Source organism: Homo sapiens, chromosome 13, assembly GCF_000001405.40.
Source record: "Homo sapiens chromosome 13, GRCh38.p14 Primary Assembly".
Lineage (NCBI taxonomy): Eukaryota > Metazoa > Chordata > Mammalia > Primates > Hominidae > Homo > Homo sapiens.
This window is the reverse complement of record NC_000013.11, coordinates 105672229-105699594: the sequence shown is the minus strand read 5'-3', so window position 1 is coordinate 105699594 and position 27366 is coordinate 105672229. Positions and strand designations below refer to the sequence as shown.

General features: G+C 35.6%; 1 long non-coding RNA gene across 5 annotated transcripts in view; it reads left to right on the top strand.

The window, feature by feature from the left end:
- The window catches only part of LOC105370345 (uncharacterized), a 134781-nt gene that overhangs the window by 7262 nt on the left and 100153 nt on the right, over positions 1–27366 (top strand). For 2 of the 5 annotated variants that reach the window (XR_931698.2, XR_931702.2), the window contains exons 3-5: positions 8001–8044; positions 18717–18864; positions 22506–22620. This is a non-coding gene — a long non-coding RNA (uncharacterized LOC105370345). Of the gene's footprint in view, positions 1–8000; positions 8045–18716; positions 18865–22505; positions 22621–23084; positions 23401–27366 lie in introns of those variants that run through there. The other 3 variants (XR_007063936.1, XR_931700.2, XR_007063935.1) reach the window with 3 other exon arrangements.

Sequence of the window (27366 nt, the reverse complement as noted above, 5' to 3'; positions counted from 1 at the left end):
AGTTTGAAGGGGCAAGTACCAGGTGCTAAGAGTTCACAGGGGAGGGATACTGGACTTAGACCTTCGGAATCAAGAAAAGCTTTCTATAGAAAGTACTGCCTAAGCTGAAGACTGAACACTGACCAGGCTGAATGAAAGATGTAGTGCTGGAGAGGATTTCCGTCAGAAAAAACATTTGAGAAGGTCCAGAAGAAAAATAAAACATCTTGTGTTCAAGGTACTGAAATAAATTGAGATTAAGGGGAGTGAAGAGTCAAGGTCTGGAGAGGTATTGAGTTGTCAAGAAATACAGTTTGAGAGGTAAAGGCCATATTAGGAAGTAATATATTTTTAAACTTTTGAAGCTTATTCTAAGGCTAATAACAAAGTGGTGTAGGCAGGAAAGTTGCAGTTATTATAAAACTTTCAGAAAGATTTATTTAAATTAATTGGAATTGAGAAAGAAAGGCATTATTTTACGTAATAAAAATATTTATTTGTTGTGTAAAAAATAAATAGTTTGGCCTAGAGGAGAACAGGGCCAGTAAGGAAGAGGAGAAATGCATAGATATAAAGGGTGTTAGGATAAAGCATAAGTAAGACTTAATGATAATTTAAACTTAAGGAACAAGGAAAATGAAGGAGTAATGAATACTTGAGTCACTTTGTAGATAGAGGCACCAATCACTCAACTCAGACAGAGTAGACTAGAGGTGGTTTTGGGGAAGCTAAAGACTCCACTTTTAGATCTCTGGAATATCCAAGATGGGAATTCAATTAGGCTATGATTTCAAGTTCAAACAAGAGAAACGGGATGGAGATATTTTTAGATACCATCTGATAATGATTAGTGATTGAAGCCATGGGAATGGATATTTTGTCAATGTTCTTTTGAGAGCTGTATCCTTCCGTAGTTATCTGATGGGTTTTTTAAATGGCGTAAAATAATCAGTAATTTAGAAGTTTCTATAAAGAAAGTTCGGCTACAAATACTTATCCTTTCTCTTTCATTCTCAAACCATGCATTAACCACCTATTAATGTGTTTAGAAAAACAGTAAGTAATTCAGGGTTCATGCTGACAGAGAAGACCCACATAAGCAAACCTCGCTATAATACAAGGAGCTAAATTCCCCAATATAAGAATGCAGTGTGCTCTGTGGGAATATGGAGAAACAAAGATAAGGAAAACCTAGGCAGAAATAGTTCAATTGATTGTTATTTCATACTGAGACAAATTTGCCAAGTATAAACTATATCCTATTACAAATTTAGATGCTTTGGGCCATGGGTCAGCTCCACGGCGACACCTACACTGAAGTTGTATTTAAGCTATCTGTCTGGATCACTTGGTTCACAAAAATGTTTGGATTACAAAAAGGAAATATCATACACCTTGGAAGAACTGGCTCATTAGTCAAGATGCTGCTTACCAGTTGCCTGGGTTGGCTGCTGTGGTAAAGCAATATCGGTTGGAAAGCTGGGGCTGGAAGTCGGGGAGAGGCTGTCTTCTATATCTTACATTTGCTATGTCTTTGGAAGAAAGATGCTTTCTGCAGTGTTCCTTAAATTTAAATATCTTTTCCTTTTGGACTCAAGGGTATGTTTATTCGACTTCATCATATCTAATCTCCTAGAATATTATTAACCTGAAGTTATTGTCAGTATCGTATGATATTTATTGAATAACAATATGCTCTGATACTGCATATGAAATGAAATAACAAATGAACCTCCCTTACTTTAACTTAACTACTAATTAATTAGAAAAGAACCTTCACTCAAGGGGTTTGGAAAGGTCCAATAAGGGAATTAACAGATGAGAATTTAAGAGTACCTGAACCCATCTCGATTTGAGATTTACGTGATGCTGGGTGATTAGTGATAAGAACAGAATGAAGTCAGCTCAGGAGGCATCGTGATCTGGAAAGGAGGGAGATATTTCAGTGAATAATTGAGAGGATTCAGACAAAGTCATATGAGAGAAGCAGAGACAGACAGAGGGCAGGAGTCAGTGGATATGAGAATGATACTAGGAAGATGAAGAATGGACTGATTTGTAAAGAAATTGAGACCCAAGTTATACTGTGTTAAGAGATAAGTTAAAACCATTAAAAAATATTGGGAGATCCTGAATTGCTTTCAAGCCTAGTAATTTGATGTAAGAAATAGTGAGAAATGCTCTTGATGTTGTGTCTGTTTCAGGGAAAGTTTTGTGGAGACAATGAAATAAATAAAATAGCATATTTAGATCAAGAGGCTGGTTTTCTTTTTCACAGGAAACATCTAAGAAACTGTTAAAAGGGACAAGGTTTGAGTGTTAGAACGTGAAATAGGGCTATGGTAATAAATTGTTACCATTCCGAAGATTATCAAATTATCTCCCAGCCAAAAAAAGAGTTTTTAAACAAACATATGAAGATATACAATATAATAAATAAACTAGTATGTTTATTTCAGATTCAACCATTTTAACCACAAAGAACAAAACAACCTCAACTGAGAGCAGGCTTGATTTATGTAAGCAAAGATTTGGATTTGAGGCAGTGAATATAGGAGGCATTGGAAAAGTTTGGGAAAAGGCTGGTGGGCTTTGTGAGACAAAAGTGACCATGCCATGAGAATTGTGAAAATAATGTAGATGTGGAATCCTGTAACAATGGCAATTAGTGATGAAGTGGTGACATGGGAATAAAGAGAAATGGGTCAACGTGATCATTTTTAGAAGGAAAAGCACTGAAACTTTGGAATGAGATTATGAAAAAAAGAGGATGAGAAATTATGTTTCCAAGGTTTATTGCAAAAGCTGTGATGATGGCATACCTCAGATAGAAATGAATTATTTTAAAGGAAACCAGTTTTTAGAGAAAGATAATGAATCCAATTTTGAACACATTGAATTCAAAGTGACAATCCGTCATCCATGCAGACTACCATGTAGACAGATAACCAAATAGAATAGAAACACCCACCATATATAATAAAACCACAGGTGCACTCATTGAGTGAACCAGTACAGATAAACTATATTGTAGGGGCTCTCACATCTGGGAATAGGAAGACTCAATGAAGGCAATAAGGGGAAGTTAAAAAGAATAAGATAAACTGGGGAATTCAAGAAGATCTTCTTTGGCTTCCATAAGATCCTAGACTGTTTCTAGGAAGCAGTCACAGTTCAGCCATGGCCCAGAATGGTGATGACCGAGGGCAGGGCCATGGTTTGGTGCTCAGAGACCATTTGCCCTCTAGGAGCAACTGATGGAGAGAATAAATTGGGGAGAGAATAAATCTAGGGCAGTTGAAGGAGAGAGTAAATTGTAAACCAAGAATGCCATAGCTAAAAGGGAAGCAGCAGGCAAGTTTGCACTTTTGAGGAGAAATTCTAGGAAGGGATTTCTCCACATTTCCATTTTAGGCCAGAAGTCTTTGACATGCTAGAGAGAAAGATGGATTTTTTTTTTAATGAATAAATGAGATAGTTGGCATTTTTGGCATTTTTGGCAAAGAAAGATTTCATTTTCAAGACCAAAATTTAAACAGCAATATTTAGCACAAAAAATGCTTGTCAAATTCCTGCTGAATTTGAAAGCAACAGCATATTAAAGCTTTTTCTTCTTTCCTGCAATAGCTGATGTTCACGATACAGTATTCCCTTGCCCTGGTGGGAGTATGTCCTCGCTTATCCTGGTGGGAATATGTTCCCCTTTATCCTGGTGGGATATACTCCCTCTTATCCTAGTGGGACATGTTCCAAGACTCCCAGTGGATGCCTGGAACCATGAATGGTACCAAGCCCTACACACACTATGTTTTCATCATATACATACACATGTATGATAAAGTTTAATTTATAAATTAGGCATAGTTAGAGATAAACAATAATAGCTAATAATAAAATAGAATAATTATAACAATATACTGTAATAAAAGTTGTCTGATGTGGTCTCTCTTTCTTTCAAAATATCTTATTGTACTGTACTCACCCTTTTTTGATGATGTGAGAAGATACCATGCCTATGTGATGTGATGTGATGAAGTAAGGTGAATGAGAAAGGCATCATGACGCAGGGTGGCCTACTATTGACCTAATAAGCAGGTTGTGTCTGCAGCATGGAGACTCTGGAAAAGGGATGATTCATGTCAAGGGAAGAATTGAATGGGACAGCACAGATTTTATCACATTACTCAGAGCAGTGCACAATTTAAAACTTATGAATTGTTTATTTATAGAATTTTCCATTTAATATTTTGAAAAGGCAGTGTGCCACAGGTAATTGAAACCACAGAAAGTGAAACTGCAGATGAGGGAGGACTACTGTATTCTTAGAGCAATTGTATATCATTGGAATATTATTGATAGTTTAATGAAAAAACAAATTAGATCAACATGGGTGGTACCATTAGGAAAGATGGTAGATTTTCAATTCAAATTCACAACTTTCAAAGAAAAATATTGTGAGTCTCTGCTATGAGATAGATATTGAGAAATGGTGTAGATATATATTCGTCTGTTTTCATGGTGCTAACAAAGACACACCCGAGACTGGGCAATTTACAAAAGAAAGAGGTTTAAGAGACGCACAGTTCCACGTGGCTGGGGAGGCCTCACAATCATGATGGAAGGCAAGGATGAGCAAATCACGTCTTACACGGATGGCAGCGGGCAAAGAGAGAGAACTTGTGCAGGGAAACTCCTGTTTGTTAAAACCATCAGATCTGATGAGACATAGTCACTACCATAAGAAAAGCACAGGAAAGATCCACCCCATGATTCAGTTACCTCTTACCAGGTTCCTTCCACAACGTGTGGGAATTGTGGGAGTTACAGTTCAAGATGAGATTTGGGTGGGGACACAGCCAAACCATATCAAGATATCAGCAGAAATGAGCAAAAAATGAGTGATTTTAAAATTACTCGGTTTATTACTGACATTCTGATGTGCATTCCTTAAGAGATAATTACATTCTACACCTAATGCCAAAGTTCTTACAGTTCAAACTCTAGGAGCAAGAGCTGCCCAAGAACCATTGCCAAAAAGTTACAGGGAGAGCCTCAGTGTTTGTTTGGACTCTCCAGCTCCTACCTTCCCCTCTCTCTTTCCTTGCTCTTCTCTCTCCATCATTCTTCCCAGCCTTCCCAGGTTCTGGGGACTCAGCTTCCATGATGCTGCCTCAGACTTTCTATCCATACGGTATTATTGCACTGTGTCTCAGAGGAGAAGAGGGAGGCCATCTGGAGAAGGTACAGGGCACCTCAGCAGTGTCTCTTGCCTGTCCATTGCTCCTGCTTCCTGATCCCTGCCAGGGGCACACCTGGAGAAACTTAGAAAACCCTTCAGAAAAGAGTAACAGAGAAAACTCACCAAATACAAGCCATTCAATGTGCCATCATAGGTTCAACCCAAATCTTGTTTCAAGTTACAGATAGAGAATTCCAGTGCTTCTTATCAGCTTTACGAATTTTATTCATGCTTCAGAAAGTTGCTAAACAGTGTAAATGAATATTTGGGAGAAGAATAAAAGAACTACTCCGAAAATCTGAAAAGAGTTAAAATAAATTCCAGTGCACTTTGATTCTTCCTTTATAAATACAAAGGATTTATGGTCTTTTGCATCAGCCAGGGTGGCCACTGGGAAGTCAGAGTTTATCTATATCCATCTTCACATTTATTACAACCACACACAGCATTTATCATACTTGTATTCAGACATGATGCTATTATTATTTTCCACTGGCATGGCTTTTAAACCCCAAAGCATTAGAGACAGATAGATAGATAGATAGACAGAGATATTTATACAATAAAAGAATTATATATATAAATAAAATTTCTTTATATAATGAAGAAATTCATATAAAGGAATATATTATATACTATATATGGTTGTATAAAATTATATATTATAAATTATATATTATATGTAATTTACATGTTTATAATTTATAATTATATTATATATAATTATATAATTTATAAAATTATATATAAAAATTGTGTATATTATAAAATATGTAATATATAATTTATAATATATTATAATTTATATATAATACATAATATATATTATAATTTATATATAATACATAATATATAATATATTATAATTTATATATAATATATAATGTATTATATATATCATGTATTGTATATATACATACATATTTCCACCAATGTGATTTTAAAAGACTACCATAAACTCACTGAAAAGAAAACATAACAGTTGGTTTCCAAGACATGAGGACATCAGTTGGAATAACGTTTCTTCCATAGAATTAAATGCATCTCTGGTGTCTTGGAAAGGCAATTTCCTCTCAAATGGGTAAAGTGTTTGTACTAATACTGTATAAAAATGAATACAATAAAATAGGCACAAAGAATCTCACAACTTAAAACATCCCATCTTTATTCTATAGCTGTAAGCTCAGAGAGACAATGATCCCATGATTTTATGGGAGTAGAAAAACACTTTATTGAGTGTTTTCTATGTATCAGACACTGTGTACATTTTGCTATGTTGTCCCGATTTTATTAAATGCAGTCCTTTTCCTGTTCAGTGTCACCATTCGGAGGTTTTTTTCAAGACACTCTGGTGCTCCATGAGATCTAATCTCCATTAATGTGACATATATGCTGATATTATGTAAGTGTGTGTGCATACGTACACTGACACACATCGTTTGCATTTGTAATTTTTTTTTACCCAGTTGCCTCATAAAAGATTAAAATGGAAGATTAGACTCCATTCAGAGTTTGACAATGCCTCAATAATAAATCAGTTCTCATCATTTGAAGAACTATGAGGTGGAACAAAAACTGATTTGAGATTCATACCGTTGTATACCTACTCTTTAAAAAAAAGATGCAATTTACACATCTGCAAATCTTAGGAAATGGCTTAGAGAATTTGCATGATTTGGGCACATGAAGCCATTTTAGCACATAAATTCCTTCCTTTCATCTCTAACGGGTGTAGAAAGGATACAAACATATTTTTTGCAGATGATGTGAATTATTGACTGGCATAAATAGCAACTCACACTAAATGCTTCAGAAATGTGTTTTTTAATTGAGTGAAGATGGAATAAAAAAATGCAGGAAAAGTCCTGTTCTATGAGAGCTGAAGATATGGAATTAGATACAGTATTTGTGAGTGTGTGTGTATGTGTGTGCCATAGCTAATATTATAATTTTTGGTTGGTCTTCCTTGTCCATTTAATGTTTGCAGCATTTGTTGATGGATTTTTACTAAATGATGACAAAATAATGAAGCAGATTAGTAAGAAAACCTACAAATTGTTTACTAGATCTTCACTATCTATATTAAATAGATGAACTAAAAGGTAAATATGGATTTTTACCTACTAAAGAAAACTACTAGAATTTATTGCACTTTAAAAATATCATGTAGTGTGTTGTAAAATGAACCCAATCAGATGTTCTCTTAAAGGACTATATTAGGGTATTGTAAATAGTTTTCCTAAAAGTGGATTTTTTTTTTTGCACCACAATTCAAATAATGCCAGAATTGCCAGCTATAAACCAAATGTGAAGTCCATGAGCTTGAAAAGCCCATAGTGTTCACGGGGATCAGTCCCTTTTTTTACACTGGAAACAGCCCCAGAAAGTTCCAGCCAGTAATGAAAGATGGTGCACAATGGCTGTGACAGAACCGTGATCAAATTCGGTCATTGTGAGTCTTCTGGCCAGCGTCGATTTTCTACCACATGTGTTTTGCGGCCTCCATAAGATGTTAAAGGAACACTGAATCATTGGCAATCCATAATACTCAGATTCTTGGCTTAGAGAGATTATTTACCCCGGGGTGCCTTTCTAACATAAACACTAGCCTTGGGTATAGTAACAGGGAGTACATAGAATAGTCCAACTCATATGAATGCAAGAAATTATAATGTGATTAATTTTTTTGGTCATTTCAATTTATTGAAGGTAATTCAGTTGGCTCTGTGAATGTATATAGGAAATTTAGAAATATTAATATGTTTTTATTTTTTTCCTCTAGGTTAACTGCAGTGAATCAAACTATTGGATTATAATTCCATGAAGGTAAGAAAGAGCTCCAGATGGTTTTCATCCTATCACCAGGACCTGCACAGTATGAGTACCTGGTGCATAACAAACTTTATTAATTATCTTTTCTCTCTTTCTTTCCCCAACCATGTGTATACATACACACGCACACACACATATATATGTACATACACATATATACATGTGTATGGACGCATAATCACATACACACGTGTATATATACACATATATACATGTGTATGTACATACTCATGTACACATATGTGTATATATTCACATATATACATGTGTATGGGCATATACATATATATAATACATGTGTATGGGCACATTCCTCTATATACACACATACACACACGTACATACAATAAATAAATGGTTGAATGGCAAAATGACTAAATGGATTTAGTACAACCTAATGATATGCCACAGATTTGTCAAAGAGCCCTGGAATTGAGTAAAAATGAATGAACTAAATTCCAAGATCTTTTACAACCTATGATTTCATTCCAGCAGAAATTTGTAAATATGTGTACCATAGATTTATACAAAACGTTAATGGTGGCATTATTTGGAATAGCTCCAAATGGGAAAAAGCCCAAATGTCAATCAACAGTAGAATGGATGGATTTTGGTATATCCATAGAATGGAATTCTAGACCACAGTTAAAATGAGTAGATTATTGCTACACCCAGCAACATGGATGAAACTCAAAACTCCTTGAGTGGATAAAGCCAGGCTGTTTACGATTACATTCTCTGTAAGAACTTTTATTCAAATTTCAAATACAAGCAAAACTATTCTACAGTGAGACAAGTCAGTGGTTACCTTTGGCAGTTAGTGTACCCAGGCTGGGGCAGGAGGGAAGTTTCTAGGTGATGAAGATGTTTTAATTCCTGATCTAATCCTAGCTTTACTGATGGGTTTACTTTGAAAAATTCATCAAGGTGACTATGCACTTTCTGTAGGTTTACATGAAAATTTCAATGACACACTTGATTGTATGACTTTGGATATTACTTTTCTTTTCTGTGCCTTAATTTCCTCAATTGAAAAGTGAGGAAGAGAATGCTTACCTCTAAGGATTGACATCAAGATTAGTGGCTGAGCACGGTGGTTCACACCTGTAATCCCAGCATTTTGGGAGGCAGAGGCAGGCGGATCACAAGATCAGGAGTTTGAAACCAGCCTGGGCAAGATGGTGAAACCCCGTCTCTACTAAAAAAATACAAAAAAAAAAAAAAAATTAGCCAGGCATGGTGGCATGCGCCTGTATTCCCAGCTACTTGGGAGGCTGAGTCATGAGAATTGCTTGAACCCGGGAGGCAGAGGTTGCAGTGAGCTGAGATCACGCCACTACACTCCAGCCTGAGCAACAGAGCAAGACTCCATCTAAAAAAAACAAAACAAAACAAAAACAAACAAACAAACGAAAAGATTAGATTAGCAAGTAGAGTATGTGTAAAACCACCTGGAAAAATGCCTGGAGTGTGTGTTCAGTATTTAATTGTAGAAACAGTTACCTTCATAAACAACAGGACATTGTGGGAACATCTGTTAATTACCGAACAGTCTTTTTAGGACCCCCTGGGGTTTGTGGATAGTAATTTTTATTAATAACACCTTTATATGGGCTGAAATCACAATGATACTGTGTCAAATTAACCAGCAGTTAAGAGCTATGCTTCTTCTTTTTGCCAATTTACTTGTTTTATTTGTTTTTAATTGACAAATAAAATTGTGTGTATTTATCTTGCACAACAAGGTGTTTTAAAATATGTATACATTGTGGAATGGCTAAATTGAGTTAATTAACATATGCATTACCTCACACAGTTATTTTAGGAACTACGTTTCCAGAAGTCTGTAAGGTAGATGGATTGATATTTTTAACCTGATTCATTCATTCTTCATTTAACCCAGGAATTTTTTGAGGGTCAGTTTCAGAGCATGCGCTACACTAAGTGTCGGGATTACTAACATCAAGGAACAGTTACTGACACAACAAATCGATGTGAAGTCCTAAAAGAGAGAACATAGACAGACACATAAAAACATAGTATAACACAATATATTAAAATATACACAACAAAACATATAAGATAAACACAGAAATGTTTGGAGCAATGAATTAGATACTTAACTGGTTTAGAAATGTTTTGAAGAAATGTATGCTAATATGTCTTTTGTTCAAAATTTATTAATTATATAATTAACTTTTAATTATGATAAAATACATAATATAAAATTTATTATCTTAAGTACTTTTAAGTATTCAGTTCAGTCATGTTCACTATATTTATATTGATGTGGAACAGATCTCTAAAACATTTTTATCTTGCAAAACTGAGACTCTACACCCATTGAACAACCTTCCATTAATATTGTTTACATGTTAACACATTTCATTATATTATAATGTATTATCGATAACATATTATATATAAATATATTTATAAATATACATGAAATTTGTATATTTGAAGTATTAGTTTCAAACAATGCTACATATATCTAAGGCTTCTAGTCCTATATTGGACTTACAGTGGAAATCTGGGAAATTGGCCAGCATTTCAGTGTGAAGGAGGAAGGATGCCGTGTTCTCTCCCATCTGTTTCAGAAAACCAGTGTGGAGAAGATGCATAATAGGCTTGACGCATTTTTTATAATGATGTTTATATTTTCATTTTCTTTTTCATAGTCACAATGAAAGTGAAAGCAAAGGAAAGAGCTAATGTCCCACAGGCCACTGGGTAATAGCGAACTGTGAAGGGTGTGGAGTGGACTCACTGGGAGACGGGAGCCCATGGACCCCTCCCCAGCTCCTTTGCTCCCACAGCAATCTTCTCCCTTCTCTTTCTTTGTCTCACAGTCTAGAAGAGTGACATTTCAAAAATTATAGCAGCAGAGGTGTTTTTACCTATAGCAAAAGATGTACATGTAATCACATTATGACATACTACAAAACAGGTAAAAACAGTAGTTTTTAGTACTTTTATAAATTCAAACTTAGCAATTTTCCTTATTTCAACATTAATATCAATAGGCATTAATGCCAGTTTTTTAATGCCAGTGATTTTTAACCTGCTGAAATTTGTTTTATAACTTACTGCGGGGTAAATGAGATATTTAGTTATACTTTTGAAAGTATTGCTTGTGTATAAAACACCTTGAAATAAAAGTTTGAAGATGTCCTATGAGTTGCTGTGAAAAGAGTAGTTGTGAAAGTTTCAAAATGACAGATGCATTTTAATGGCAGAGTAGGAGTTCATTTATCCAAAAAAGAGGGAAATACAGCTCAAAGAGTAAAGCAGATGCAGAGAACAGCAAACAACGGTCAGAGCATTGTGAATCTTCAGCTTTGATCTTGAGTACCTAGCTAGATATTACTGTCAACGGCTAAGATTAAAATGTAACAATATCAGGGGAAATGCATTTGAGAACAGTAAAACATTTATTTTGTACATATATAGCTTGAAATGCATATGGGAAATGTAGGTGGAGATTTTTAGTAGGCAATAGCATATGTGAGTTTGAAATGTAATGCGGATATATAATCTAAAACTGGTTCTCAATTCTGACTGCACATTAGGAAATTTACTGCTTAAAATGACTAAATCTCAGGCCCAACTGCAGATTGATTAAATTAAAATTTATGGGGATGTGCGCCTGAATTTTTTTTTTCATTAAAAAAAAAAAAAAAGACTCCCCAGGCGATTATAAGAAACTGCCAGCTTTGGAAACTGCTGGCCTACAATTAGTGTCAACGTCATCATCGTGTGGGCTGTTGTTGGATGGATGAGAACAAGGATGGATGAGAACATCTAGAGAGTGCAGGTTGTTCCTCTTCTTGTCTTCTATTTGCCCTTCAGATCTGCCCTTTCATGTAGTCTGGGCACCAGAGCACCCTGAGCCCAGTGGACTGCACCAGTGGACTCTTCCATCCTCAGGGTTTTGGTAAGCACCATCTAGAGGAGGCATAGAGAGAAAATCAGGGACCCAGGAAGGTGAAAACAGGTTTTGTTTTCCCAGCTTCCTTTCTGCTGGGTCAAGGGGTAACTGCAGGTTGAGGGTCATCCTCAGTCAAAGGCCACAGCTGCAGCAGGTGCACCTCTTCACACAGCTGCTTCTAGAGTCTGCTTAGCTGCTTCAGGTCAAGGGATGATGAGGTCTCCCAACTGTTGCTAGCTCTATAGTTCTCAGCCATCTTCAGTTGATTCCCCTAAATCCTGCCTGCCCCTTCGTAGACAGTACCTTCATTAAATATTCCTCATTGGTTAAAAAGTAGTGACCTTGTGCTGAATATTCTATGCCAAGCCTCTGCCTGCTGCAGTAACATAAGAAGAGTTGTGGCTGAAGATGGAACCAAGAGAGAAAATGACCTTTAAAAGATGTAACGAGGTGCCCAGGGAAAGTTTTGGCAATGGAATCTGAGCATGTAGAGTTTAAATGTAAGAACGGAAAAATATCTGTTGTATTTGAAAGGTCACGAAAGGCTTCTTCCCGAGAGGAATTTTAGTGGTGCGCTAACAAAAATCAGATGGCAGGGGCTGGGGCATCAATGCAAGTGAAGAAATGAAGGGTGGTTATTTGACAAGTTTGATGATAGGAGGAATAAAGAATTTGGATTTATTAAAAATAAGACATGGAGCTAATCAATTGAGATTGCCAAACTCTTTTAATGAAAAGTAGCTGTGCTCTATCTCCAGCAGTTGCAACAGAGCACTAATAATATCACCGAGACTATTGATGTGAGGGCAATATACATACTCAGTGCTGTAAAGGCTTAGATTTTTGATAGCTACTCAAGGAAGAACACAAAGAATTAAGTCTTGATTTTTAAAATGAACAAAGATATAAAGAGAGAAAATACAGAATGTATACGAATAATCAAAACATATGAAACGACGGCCATCTCTGGTAATCAAAAGAAGGCTACTACAAGCAATGATATATGTTTTGCCTTATAACTTCATAAAGATTCAGAAAATGGGCCATAGCCACTATTGGCAAGAAGGCAAATAAAGTCCATTTTTGGTCAGAATGTCAATTTATGTATCTTTTCTGAAGTCTGGTCTTTGCACTCTTACCCTTTTAAAGAAAACATTAATTGTTTCACTGAAGCTCTGAGTTCATATGGCCATGCTCTCCTGCCCAGGTGTTCTCTCCCTTAAGCCTTCTCTTGAGCACTTATGTGCCACTCATCATCATGACTTCAGTCCTTAAAGTTTCTTTAATACCACTGGACTATAAAATAGGACTGACGAAAAGACCCATTCAACATTCCATTGAAGGATTAAATGCTATGTTTTAAGATATAATTTTATAACATACATCTATCATGAAATCCATTGACTCTTCACAATTAGATGCTCTTACATAGAAAACATAGTTACTTACAAAGTCATGGTTGAAATGAATCTCTGCTGTAACGCCATTACATATCCCTAAAACATATTTAAGAATTATGAAGAGGAGCATTATTGAAAACAAAATGTATTGACACTAAAGAGTAACTATTTTAAAAAGGTAATATCATGATACTCATATGAATATCAAATGAATGCATGTCAAATATTTTATTTAACTCTTTAACTAATGAAGAAATGGGTATGATGCTACACCCAATTCAAGGTAGAATTCAAAATTCAAAATAAACACATATATACATAAATCAGGAATTTTGAAATGAATGTACAAAATGATGCAAAACTGGCTTTTTCCATGGAGATTGGGGTCGTTGTCCAGGAATCAGTAGTTATTTCCAGGGACAAAATTCATTTGCATTTCTATGGGCAAGTGTCATTTAAACTGCAATCAGTTATCTACAATTTATGGAATCGTAACCACTTTAAAAAAGATGAAAACAGTTAACCTGAAAGTTTCTCCTGCACTAAATGAGAAAGAAGCTCAGTTATTTTTAAATTTGCTTATTTTTGTCTTGTTCTTTTTTAATTTCACAATATTTGACTGACAGTAACTTACCTGATAGTGATAAATCAATTTGTGCCACATCTCATGGCATATCAGCTTTCTGTGTCTTTGTCCATCTCAAACAACCCCACATGCCTACCTCAACATGAGTTTTATCTCCCTTCAAACTGGATTAATGGTATCCATGTTACATGACTTTATACGTGTTCTTCACTTTACAGCAAATAGTTATGAACAATTAATGGAACACACACACACACCCAGATAGGAATGGGACCCTCTGAGTTTTGTTCACAGAGTCTATACTCTTTTCTATTGTGTCATATAATGGTGACAATTCAATTAGGTGGCCTATGTCCACAATCCATGGCATAAACGCCGGTAAATTTACAGATTCTCCGCATCCTATTTGGCAAGTGCTTCAGTGATATCTGTAGCCTGAAGAGAAAAGCTAAGTTTTTCCTATTTCTCTCTCTTCTTTCCTTCCCTTTTCTTTTGAATTTCCTAAAACAAAGGAAGAAAAAGGAGGGGAAGAATTTGGCAATGTGTCAGTTAATTTCATCAATGTAGACAAAGTTAAATTAGGAGGCTGAATTACCAAGACTGGCTGTTTCCATTGATGAAATTAAATCAGGTAAATTGCCAGTGCTTCACAAATGCTGTCTCAGGTGTGACTGAAGTTGTGATTGATTGGAAAGTACTCACAGAGAAAACAAGTACAGGAAAAACAGCACTATTCCAAAATGCAGAACAAAACCACACATATTTAGGCTTTACAGTTTTCGTGCTCCTTCATATTCTTACTTTGATGTATTTCTGCCTTTTAATTTAGCCTTTTCCTAAAAAAAATAGTTTGCTTTACAGTTTACAAAGTAAGATATGCTTTAAGAGGTAGAAAAATGAGGCAAGTGAAAATGAATTAAAAAAAAAAAAAGAATCCAGGAGCAAAGTCAGTCCACAAAGTTTGTCTGTGACATCATTGTCCTTCCAAACAAGGAGCTTCGAGTTCAACTCCAAACATTAGCAGTGCAGACGGGAAAATGCAGTGACCAAAATCAGAGTCCCTGGGTGAAAAGCAAGCCATTTAATAGGAATGAAAGAGTCCTGCTATAAATACTACAGAAAATAATTTTCAAATCTACTCTCCTAAGGAGAACACTGTGCAAGATAATGAATATCATCTTTAGAAACATCTTCTTGTAATTATTTCTTAAAATATCCTTCCAGACAAAGCAATGACATCATTACAAACTCCAACTTAGCAAAACGCTTTTTGGAAAAAGGAAAGTGGAAGGACATTGAGTGATGTCCACATATGTAGCTCTCTGATGATTTGACTTCATCCAAGAATCGTGGGAAACAGCTAGAATGGGGTGAATTTTATATCTCCCAAACAGTTTTTCATAAATATCATTTTATTTGACTAAGCTTTCAAGTGTGACTCAATGATAGTAAAGGGGAGAACCTAATTCCTGACAATTGCATGAGATGTTGGTCTTCAGTGTTGCCAGTTAACTGAGAAACTATGTTAATAATCAGCCGCGTTAGCCCTTTTCTGTTAGATAATTTTATTATTCGCAATTCTCTTTGATGGGTATTAGGTTTAGACAATTGACCAGCAAACTATTTTTTTTTGAAAATGACCACAAACATGTTAAAAATGGATGAACCCTGAGAGGAGACAGGAAAACAGCACCTAAAAATAGTAGAAGGATATTATTTCTCTGCCATTATGGACTTATAACATAATAAACATTTAGTTGGTTCACTTTTTTAGTATCAACACTTTTATTAATTGCTTCTTTTTTTACAAATTTGATTTTATTATTTTGATACCTACTGATCTCTAATTTCTTGAGAAAGTCTGTCTTACTTTAATAAAATGACATACAGTGCATTTTAAACTTAAATACTGTATATTCATATTTAAATCTGAGATTATTGGGACATAATGATATAAGAATTTATATAAGGCCATCCTCTGAATCCATATTCAATTAAACTAAAAAAGGATGTCCGATTTAGGAATCCCACAGACCCATCAGTAATCAGGCAAGTACTTAACAGCCATCCTATCATTGGTCTCTCTAGTTTTTATTTATTCTTGTAGTATTAGCAGATGATTTCTATAATGTTGATCAAATCAGATTTACGATCTAAGTTGAGTTAAATCTCAGAGAATCAAACTCCATTGTGGAATGGAAGTTTTTAGTTTCTTATATATGGCAATATTTTGTAAGATATTTTCATAACTAACAAAGTATTCTCATTATAAATTAAGTACATTTCTCCCTTAAGCTTTTTAAAAAAAATGATTTTAGAAAATTCCTGAAATAAGTATCAAAATGCAAGATTGTAAAATACGTTTTGATAAATCAGAAACATTCTTATTAAGAGTTTTCTTTATTGATAAGTTATACTTCTATGTTTATAAAATATGTTGTATTGTTAAATGAAGCCAATGAAATTGATCAAGGGTTAGGTTTTAGAATATTTCTGTCCAGAGCTTTGCTCCTCCAAATTCTGTCGTGTTAGAATTTTATTTTTTGACTACAGGAGGATAGAAGCCTAAAACATTTTAAAACTACATAATCCGTTTTTAAAATTACACATGTAAAATGGTGTGCACAAATAAATACTCTGTCACGCAAACATGCACACAGAGCATAAACACATGTACACACATTACATATTAATGCTTCTTCTAGGACACAGATTAATAAGTAGTAGAGAAAAAAGAATTACAGATACAATCTCAAAGCTTGTCATATTTCTACAAGGTAAATATATATCTCAGTGATAGTGCTATCAAAACCATACCATCAGGTTAAAGAAGTGGGTAAATATTATCAGAATTTAATGTGAAAACAGGATTATATTCCTACTATTGCCTGGTGACATAGTACTCAACACATTTTTTTTCGTGTTATTCATGTTAAATGTTAATCTGTTAATTTAAATTAAATCAAATTAAATAAAATCTGTTAAAGAAAATTGTTCAAATAGCTTCTCCCTAAAGTTTTCTTTAGTTCAAAAGATTCTGATGCTATATTTTAACCTACAGCTTACAAACAAATTTGGGTCTTTTAAAACTTCCATTCCCTCAATTTTAGTAAAAAAGAACCCTACTTTTATAACTTACATTAAACATTGGAAATAATGTATAACTTACTTATTAGTCTTAACTTTGGGAGAGAAGAGGTTTAAGTACGTATTTTAAAAAAAACAACAGAAATGAGTACTCATGATAAATAGTATATGCACCTAAAATATACTAAAATTAATGAGTACAAATACTCATTCAGCTCTCAAAGTAACTCTCCCAACTGAATAAACACGTTTAAAAATATTTTAATGTATTTATTTGTGAGTTACACAAATCCATTAGTTTAATATTTAGATAATATGACAATGATATATGAGACACAATTTATTTTAAGAATATTTATATAATAAATAAATAAATAAATAAATAAAAATAACATAACCTAAGTATACCTTAGAAAAACTATGGGGAAATGTTAAAGATAAGGCTTGGGAACTTTGCCAGCACAGTGTGGGTATCATAGTGTAGGTATTCTTATTTCAATTAAACTAGTTGCTTTCAGTTTAAAAAGTAGATGATTTTACATACAAGTTTGCACTTCTAGCTTCTCTTTTCAAAATGAGTTCAGGCCTTCCCATCCTGACACCTTGAAAAAGCTGTGGCGAGGCCGGGCGCGGTGGCTCACGTCTGTAATCCCAGCACTTTGGGAGGCTGAGGCGGGCGGCTCACGAGGTCAGGAGATCGAGATCATCCTGGCTAACATGGTGAAACCCCGTCTCTACTAAAAATACGAAAAATTAGCCGGGCGCGGTGGCGGGCACCTGTGGTCCCAGCTACTCCGGAGGCTGAGGCAGGAGAATGGCGTGAACCCGGGAGGCGGAGCTTGCAGTGAGCCCAGATGGCGCCACTGCCCTCCAGCCTGGGGAACAGAGAGAGACTCCGTCTCAAAAAAAACCAAAAAAACAACAAAAAAAACAAAAGCTGCAGCGAGGCCGTTTCTGAAGATGGCGGGTATTGGGCACTCTTTACTTCCTTGACTCTACTCCTGCACTCTGAGACTGACCGTATAACATTTCCGATTTTCTTTGATTTGTGCTATTGTTTTTCTTATAGTTAAGGGAAATGTGAAATATTATTGTACCTTTGTCTGTCAAAATTTAGAAAAATGAAAAATAGACCAAAGGTGGGAGTATAATTCATTGCAAAAACTTGATATCCTAAGCTAGTGTGTCAAAAGTGTACAATTTCGAGCATTATTATGAAATAAATTTAGTAAGATCTATCACCAATATATAAGAAATAGGATACAAAGTTTTATGAACTAAAAAGAAAATTCTCATTGAATTGTTTTTTAATCAAATTAAATGAAGCTACATCGAAATATTTAAAAACATGTTGGCAATGATGAGTCTATAAAGCAATTTAGTGGGTATAACCCTCCCAATTTGCTGATATGGGCCCTGCCTGGTTTTGGGGGCCTTGAATCTGCAATCCCTGGTGGAGGACAACACCCCTGTTTCTCCGGACCTGAGAGTTTTTCTTTTAATCTAATTTCCTTCACATTTTAATCATTAGCTTATCTTCAAACTTTTTTAAGAATGATCTTAACAAATTAAAAGTACTTTACAATGTATTGCATTTACTATGTTTGAATAAAACATTATTTTGCCACTATCCCAAAGGATTGTTATATTTTTCTATTTTAGTAAGTTTATTGAAGACAAACAGGCCTTGGGCCGCTGCCTCTGTCTCTCCTGCCTTCCCCACTGAATCTCCAGCCCACATTCACAAACAAAGACAAACCTGTGTAAACTGAAGCACCACAAAACTACTTTTATGAAAGCAGAATGGAAGGTAAGTGTCATAATCTGTTCCCCCTTGTACTGTAGCATAAACTTTATCGAACTCACTGCAGCAAATACCTTTGTCTTTCACCAAGAAATGGAAATTGTTTGGTGTAATTGTGCCTTACCTTCCCGAGGTATATTTCTGGATTTGATTTACTGAATTCAAAGTTGAATGATTCACCAAACTTCTTGGTTTTCAATGCTTAAAGTCCCAAATAACTTTTCTTAAAATCAGAGCTGCCAAAGTTAGGAATGATTTTAATATCAATTCCCGAGAGGTGTAGAAGTAGCTACTGTGCTATTTCTCACACTTTATCAACCAAAGTCACCTTCACAAGCATCCTCAGGATGAAGACTTCAATAACTCTTAGGCTGTCCATTTCTCTAATGCACATTTGTGGTTGTCAGAAAATTTTTTTTATATTGATTTGAATCAATTGATCCATGTTTTGCCCACCAGAACAACAGAAACCAAATGTATTCTTTTTGTAGTACTTTTCATTTTTAAAAACAATTACTAGAATCCCCTGAGTCTTCTTTTGTTCTGTGGTCCTTCCCCCAGGACAGTGTGTCCAGGTGGACTGCCCTTCCAACCCTCTCCTCTCTTTCAGACAACTTTGTCCATGTCCCTTTGCAGAGGCCCTGGGCAGAGATTCCCGCCGGGAGGTCTGCTCAGACCAGTGCACGCTGAAGCTAATGAGTCATTTTATATGGACTTGGTGATGATCTCAGTGTCATAAAAAGGAGATTCCATTATTTCTCTTTCAAATACAGCCCTAGCTGCTGAGGCAGATCTCTCTGATTCTGTATTTTAAATTGATTTTTGAATTTAAATTGAGAGATTTCAGGTCTTATACTTTTAGAGCCAAAAGAGAACGTTCACATCAACTGGAGATTAGGGTTAATGTTCCAGATCAACGGCCAAATAGTTACGTGGGCTTGAACAACTGTCCCAGTTGGCCTCCTGGGACAGCTGTTTGCTGTAATATGGGAATAGGAATGTCATCTCCCCCTGCCTTACAGGACTCTTGTGAGGATCTACTAAAGAATACCCATAAAAGTCTTTTAAAAAGGTTAGAGAACAGAAGATGTCATTGGTTTATACGTGTATCCTGATTCCACTCCTTCCATATCATTGTCTCTTCGTGAAAACCAGACTTCTCTAAAAGCTCTTGTATTATTATTATTTTTTTTCCAAACACCAACCAATACTCTGACACCATCTGTGTGGACAGCAGTTCAATTGGATTCTAACTAACCAGAGTTAGAGAAAAACCCACGGGATGAGGGCCCAATGCCACAAGATTGCCCCCATATCACATGCCAGCCACAAAAAGAGTGCCAGCCTTCCTGGTCTCCTGCCAGGCCCACTACAAACACAGGGTTCCCACCATTCCCACCCCTCCAAATGTGACAACTTTTTAGAACAACTCATAGAACTCAGGAGAACACTACACTTACTGATTTTTTGGTTTATTATGAAGGACAGTTCAGGACCAGTCAAATGGAAGTGGTGCACAGGACGGGCTGGGTATGGGGTAGGGGAATGACTGGGAGCGTCCTCACCCTCTCTGGGGGCACCACCCTCCCAGCACATCCATGTGTTTGCCAGCTTGGAAGCTCCTTGAATCTCTTTTGCTCACGAGTTTTTATAACCCAATCTCTAATACCCTCCTTTCCCTGGAGGTTAGGGGGTATAGCTGAAGATTTCCAACGCCTAATCACCATTTGGTCTTTGTTGTGACCAGCCCTATCCTGAAGCTATACAGAGGGCCGCACCCTAGGTTACCTCAGTGGCATAAACACAGGTGTAGTAGAAAGGGGCTTATTATGAATAACAGAAGGCACTCCCATTTCTGCTAGTCCCGAGGGTTTTGGTAGTTCTGTGCCAAGAACAGGGGAAAAAGATGAAGTACAATTTTTATTACACCACTGCTGTCCATACTGGTTACCAGCATTTTCTTTGGTCTCTCCTCAAATGACACCACTCTCCGCTGCCCTGTCACTTCCCTGAACAGTTCTCTTGGTGATTTTCTCTCCTCGTCCTACTTTCCCTTTCATGAGCACAAGAAGTAGTCAAGCGGTGAACCCTTTATCGTTCTTGAAGCACCTCTCACTTTGGAGACTTTAATACCACAACCTGCTTGTTTTCCTTCCATGCTTCTGACTCTTCCTGCTTTGTCTCCTTGGAGATATATTAGTGAGAGAAGTAAAATGTTGCAACTGGTTTAAATGATAATTTGATATACAGATATATGCATTCTCCAAGGCACAGAATGTATTTATATTGCTAAGAAATGTGCTAAAAAGTGGAGACAAGGCCTGAAGAATCCCTGAGCAGACAACACTAGTCAGGCCTCATAAGTGACCTCAACCTTGTTTGATTTGCAAACATAAGTGAATGTCAGCTTGAGCTATTTCTTGTAAATGCCTGTATTCAAAACAGAACTTAAGCTTAACCAGTCAGAAGCAGTCTACTCACTTATAATCCTATAACTGGGGGGACTTTCCGATGGGATAGATCAAATAAGGCAACTGTATAACTGAAACCAACCAAATGCTTTCTCTGATTTACTTCTGTGTTGTTCTATAAAAGCCTCCTCTTTCTGTTTCCTCAGTAAAGCTCCTGAACCAGTTCTACTTTGGAGGTGCCCAATTCATGAATTGCTTGCTCAAATAAACTATTCTTTTAAAATTTATTGGGCCTCCATTTACTTTCAGATAACAGTAATTATTTGCATGCCTATGGAAGGAAACATTGGTATTACTGTCTTTTTTTTTTTTTTTTTTTTACAATTTAAGTTCTAACTCTACAGAATTGTAAAATAACATAAGAATTAACCCAAAATGTGCATTCCTATCAAGTCAGATAATCACCCAGAAATCCTGCTAAAATAATTTCCAGAATTTCACTGAAAGGACACCTAGTCATTTCTTTTGCCCATTTCCTGACAGTATCTCCACTAGTAATAAAAATAATATTGAAAGAAAATTCTTAATCTCAAACAGGCCAAGGATGCCCATAAGGTTTGACCTGATATTTACATAGTTGCAGAAGAATTTAAACTAACCATATGGGCATCTTTGAGTTTATTCTGTAGTTCTTAATCAATGAATTATTAAGCAACTACTAAGACCAGAGAATAAACTTATGACTAGGAGTTTTCAAAAGAAATCTTTGATTGGTCTTCTAAAAATCCCTATGATTTTCTTTTCTTTATTAGTTCATTTTCACACTGCTATAAAGAACTACCTGAGACTGAGTAATTTATGAAGAATAGAGGTTTAATTGACTCACAGTTCTGCAGGCTTAACAGGAAGCATGACTTAGGGGTCTCAGGAAACTTACAATCATGCCAGAAGGCTAAGGGGAAGCAAGCACATCTTACCATGGCAGAGCAGGAGACAGAGCGAGTGAACAAAGGGGGAAGTGCCACACATTTTCAAACCACCAGATCTCTTGAGAACTCACTCACTATCACAAGAATAACAAGGGAGAAGTCTGCCTCCATGATTCAATCACCTCCCACCAGGCCCCTTTCCCGACACATGGGGATTACAGTTCGAGATGAGATTTGGGTGGGGACACAGAGCCAAACCATAACATATTCTAAGACGAGGAAACTGACCACAAGAAACTTTCTCCAGCAGATTTCACCTGCATTTCCTACATTCAACTGAATCCTTTAAATTGACTGAGGCACATCCTGTACCAAGGAGAGACCTTTGTTACTGCCTTTGATCCTGAGACCTTCTGAGCCAGGTACTTGGGTGCTTTTCCTGGGGAGGCTTTGAGGCGTTTACTCCACACATAATGTCAAACGTGTTTTATAATAGTGGGATAGTCAGACTTGATTAAATGAGAATTATTTTCAAATATGATACTAAGTAAGGTCTTGAGTGTAGAATCAAATTGTCCAATTATATCCTAATAAAAAGGAAGACAGATTCTTAGTGGACCTTTTCAACTATCTATACAGCAGTTTCATAAAACATTAGGAAATTTAGTAAACCTTATTACTTCTGGGGAGTCAGTGAGAATCAGATACATTTCTTAAATGTTTCATTTCATCAAGAGCAGAGTCTATGAAATTAAGGGTAAGATTTGCTTCAAATCTTAAGAAGAAAGCACTTTGATATATATCTTTTAAAACTAAAAACAACATTGATGGTATTCTACAATACTTGCATTTTCCTCTCACCTATGTAGTTCATTCCTGTTCTCAGGAACCCTGCTTTTAAGAGGAAGGTCTTGGCCAGGCTCAGTGGCTCACACCTGTAATCCCAGCACTTTGGGAGGCCGAGGCGGGCAGATCACCTGAGGTCAGGAGTTCAAGACCAGCCTGACCAATATGGTGAAACCCCATCTCTACTAAAAATACAAAAATTAGCCAGGCATGGTGGCAGGTGCCTGTAGTCCCAGCTACTCGGGAGGCTGAGACAGGAGAATTGCTTGAACCTGGGAGGCGGAGGTTGCAGTGAGCCAAGATCACACCACTGCACTCCAGCCTGGGCAACAGAGTGAGACTCCATCTCAAATTAAGTAAGTAAATAAATAAATAAATAAATAAATAAATAAATAAATACAGTGTCCTGGAAAGCCTGACTCGGTAGATGGTTACCCTCTGAGAGTTGGTTAAGTAATATCACCTTAGCAGGTGATATTACATAAGAGACCATTCTGGAAGTATAAAAAGTTAAAGTTGCTGGTACAAACATTTCCACAAGGCTCTAAGAGCCCTCTTTTACTGAAGACAAACTGTGGTGTGAATCTTACATCAGTATCCAACATCAGAGTAACGAGAAACTACCTGTACATGACAAAGACTGAATGGCTGTGGCCAATTTATTATAATAACCAGTGATGTCAGAATGGAGAAGAGGGGAATTCTCTATGGGGTGTAGTAGGCAACAATTCCATAAGAGTTTGGCAATGTTTCTCCTGTGCTGGGAATTATCATGTACAGCCAGAGTACTGGCAAATCTTCTGGACCTTCCCATGAATTATATAATTTCTAAAATATTTATATTAATAATTTATATTAATAAATGAAATTGTGTCCTTGAAGTTCATACATCAAATTCCTAACCACGAATAGGACTCTATTTGGAGATAAGGGCTTTGTGGAGGTAATGAAGTTTGAATGAGATCGTAAGGGCAGGGTACTGTGATCATAAGAACCCCAATATGACTGGTGTCCTTATAAGAAGAGGGAGAGACACAAGGAGCATGCTTACAAGAAAAGGCAATGTGAGGACATAGTGAGAAGGTGGCCATCTGCAAATCAAGGAGAGAGACCTTACAAGAAACCTACCTTGCCAGCACCGTGGTCTTGGATTTCCAGCCCCTAGAACTGTGAGAAAATAGGTTTATGTTGTTCAAGCCACCCAGACAGTGTTATTTTATTATGGCAGCCAAAGAGACTAATACAATAATATTTTTCTGTTTAAATTTTATCTAGCAATAGCTGAGGATCTTTCCCAATTTAATAATGCTTGCTATGCAGCTCTCACCATAGTGTCGAGGTAATTTAAGAAATATAGTGCACATCACAAAACATAATTATTTGTAGCATCACTCTTTTCTTAAGGTGAAAGAATAAATTTTTATGAAATCTCAAAAGAGATGTAGACATTTGATTCATTTTTCTTAATTTAGGATACAATCTTAGAAAGCCAAAATCTAAATAATTGTTGGTGGAGATTTGGGCACTTATTTAGGATAAGATCATGAATACCTAAAAAACAGTGGTTGGTTAATTCATCAAAATGACATCAAAATATTTTAAAGTAAACTTAGAAGTTTCCACAATTATAAATATTCTTAGCTCTTTCCAAAGCTAGAAAATGTTTTATTTTTAGTAATCAAAGATATATGAAAGTAAACACAGAAAAATTATTCAAGTGGGATACAGAATCTCTATCACCTATTATCAGAATTTTGATTACACAAAAGGTTAAAAAATGACTTTTCACATTGTAGGCAAGTCACGCATCATTAAACCAAGGGAACAAGCACATCAAAAACAGAGTGAAATTTGCCAAAATATAAAATATTTTAGTTTTGTTTTAGATTAATGTGTTATTAACAAAGACAAAATTCAATTTCTAAGTTTTGTTTTTCACTATACTCTTTCATATTCTGGAAAGATCTGTCACTTTTCTAAAATACAAAACTAATTCTTTTCCTCGAAAGACAAAAATATACACACTTGTGTTTCCCTGACTCTATTATCCTTAGTAGAGTCTCAATCACCCATTTGATTAAGCTTATTTCATAGAAAAAACTGGGTTAATGGGGGAATAATTAAGAACGGATGTCATACAGTATTTACTGTATTACCAAAGGTCACAGGAAACACACCTGGTGGCCGTGTCATCCATCCTTTACATCTGCTTGCCATGGCAAAAATAAATATACTCATTGATATAGATGTATCCCAAGAGATAGTCTTCTGGACAGCATATAAAAATAACAAGCACAAGTATGTAAACTTAAATTTATATTTAGTAGTCAAGGACTCAACTGTTATACATTCATTAGAAGTTACTTTGTTTTCTAAGAATTCTCCAATTTTAAGGGTATTTAACATTAGTCAAGGTCTTAAGTAACCTAAGGAAGTTAGAAACTAAGTTAAAGCTGTCACACTGCAACACATAGTTACTATTGACAGAAAAGGTTTATCATAATAATAATTTAATTTAATGCAATTTTTCATATTTTACACATTGTGCAGAAATAATGTTAGTTTTTATGATCGATAGACCACTATAAATTCAGAAATTGCAGTTTGACTCTTATCATCATGAGAAAAGCAACCAAAATAGAGTGAATTGTAGGTCAAATTATATTTAGTGTGGCTTTATCAGAAAAAACATATAGACTTTTTAATAAATGAAATTATTTATATAATTTGCCTAATAATGGAATTAGATAAACTTGGAATTTAAAAATGCTTCTGAACTAAAGGTTTTATAAGAACATTTTTAATGTTTTCCAACTTTATTGGTTTATAATTAACATAAAAAATGTATATGTTGGGTTGATGCAAAACAGCAATTACTTTTACACAAACCAAATATTTAATGTACAACTTGATGTTGTGACATACATATACACTGTGACGTGACAATCACAAACAACTTAGTGTATGTATCTATTACATACCATGGTTATCTTTGTGTGTTTGTGGTGAAAACTCTTAATATCTATCCACTTAGCAAATTTTAAGTATACAATACACTATTAAAGATGATATTTTTAATCTAGTGTATTTAAAGTATTAGTTTATTTTTCTTTTTTTTGAATTTGGAAAAATTGGATTTATATGTACATTTATCTTTAAAAGCCAATTAGAATAGTACCTCTTTAATTAAAGAGATAGGAACATTTATATCCACTAACTGAGGTCAAGACCTTTCACAATTACAGAGTCACAAACGTGTTAGAGAACTCACAGCCTGATATCTTCCACTTCAGCCACGAGTCAAGAATACACACAAAGATGCAAAAATCCAATGGCTGAGATCTCAAAGAGAAGTTCAGTTTCCCAATGTGCATAAAATTCTCAATTGATTTGAGCTCACAAGTAAAACAAAATAGACAATAAGAATAATAAGCCGATTACGTCATCTTTTATTCAACAGACAGTAGACCTACAGAGATCATCGAATTGGCAGATCATAAAGCCAAATTCCTAATTGCTTCCTCCAGTGGAAAATAAGCCATCAGCTATGTCTTACTCAGCAACAAAACAAAATATATAGTTAGTAGGAAACAAAGTTAAAGAAACAGAGTGAACAAGGTTAAATATCTATTGCCATTTGATACCCTCTCTGGGAGGCAGGAAAATTGTTCATGGGCTTAAGCAATTCAGGAGGTCCATTTCTTCAGCCCCACAGTTTACCTGACTCTAAGTTGATGAACTAGACATTTTGGCAGATAATCTACCTCTAAACCCATTAACACATAACATTCCCACAGGTAAAATCACAATTCTCATGGAAATATCAAATAAACATATGTCAAATGTTATTTAACTCATCAGTTTAACGAAAGAACCAGTAAGATGTTGAAATCAGTTCTCAGAAATTTGTTGGTTTTTTTTTCAACCAAGAACTCCCCACTGACACCAACCCTATCAAAAATTGCCATTTGACATTTCATCTGGATGTTTTAAAGGCCTCTCAATTCACTGTGTCCAAAAAGGAATTCATGACTTTCTTTTCCAAATCTCTTTCCTTCTCTTGGGGTGTTCACTACTTCTGGCAATGATCCCACTTTGTGTTGAATTATTTACACCAGAAATCTAAGACTAATAAATGATACTTTATCTCACTACACTTTCACCTGCCATTACATGTTTATTACCAAACTCTGTTGATTTTACTTTCTAAATATCTCTTACCTGTATCTGCTTCTAACTTAACCACGTTCATCCATACCATGACACCACCATCACCATTTCATCTGGACCATATCACTTAGACTAAACCATTAGCCATATGT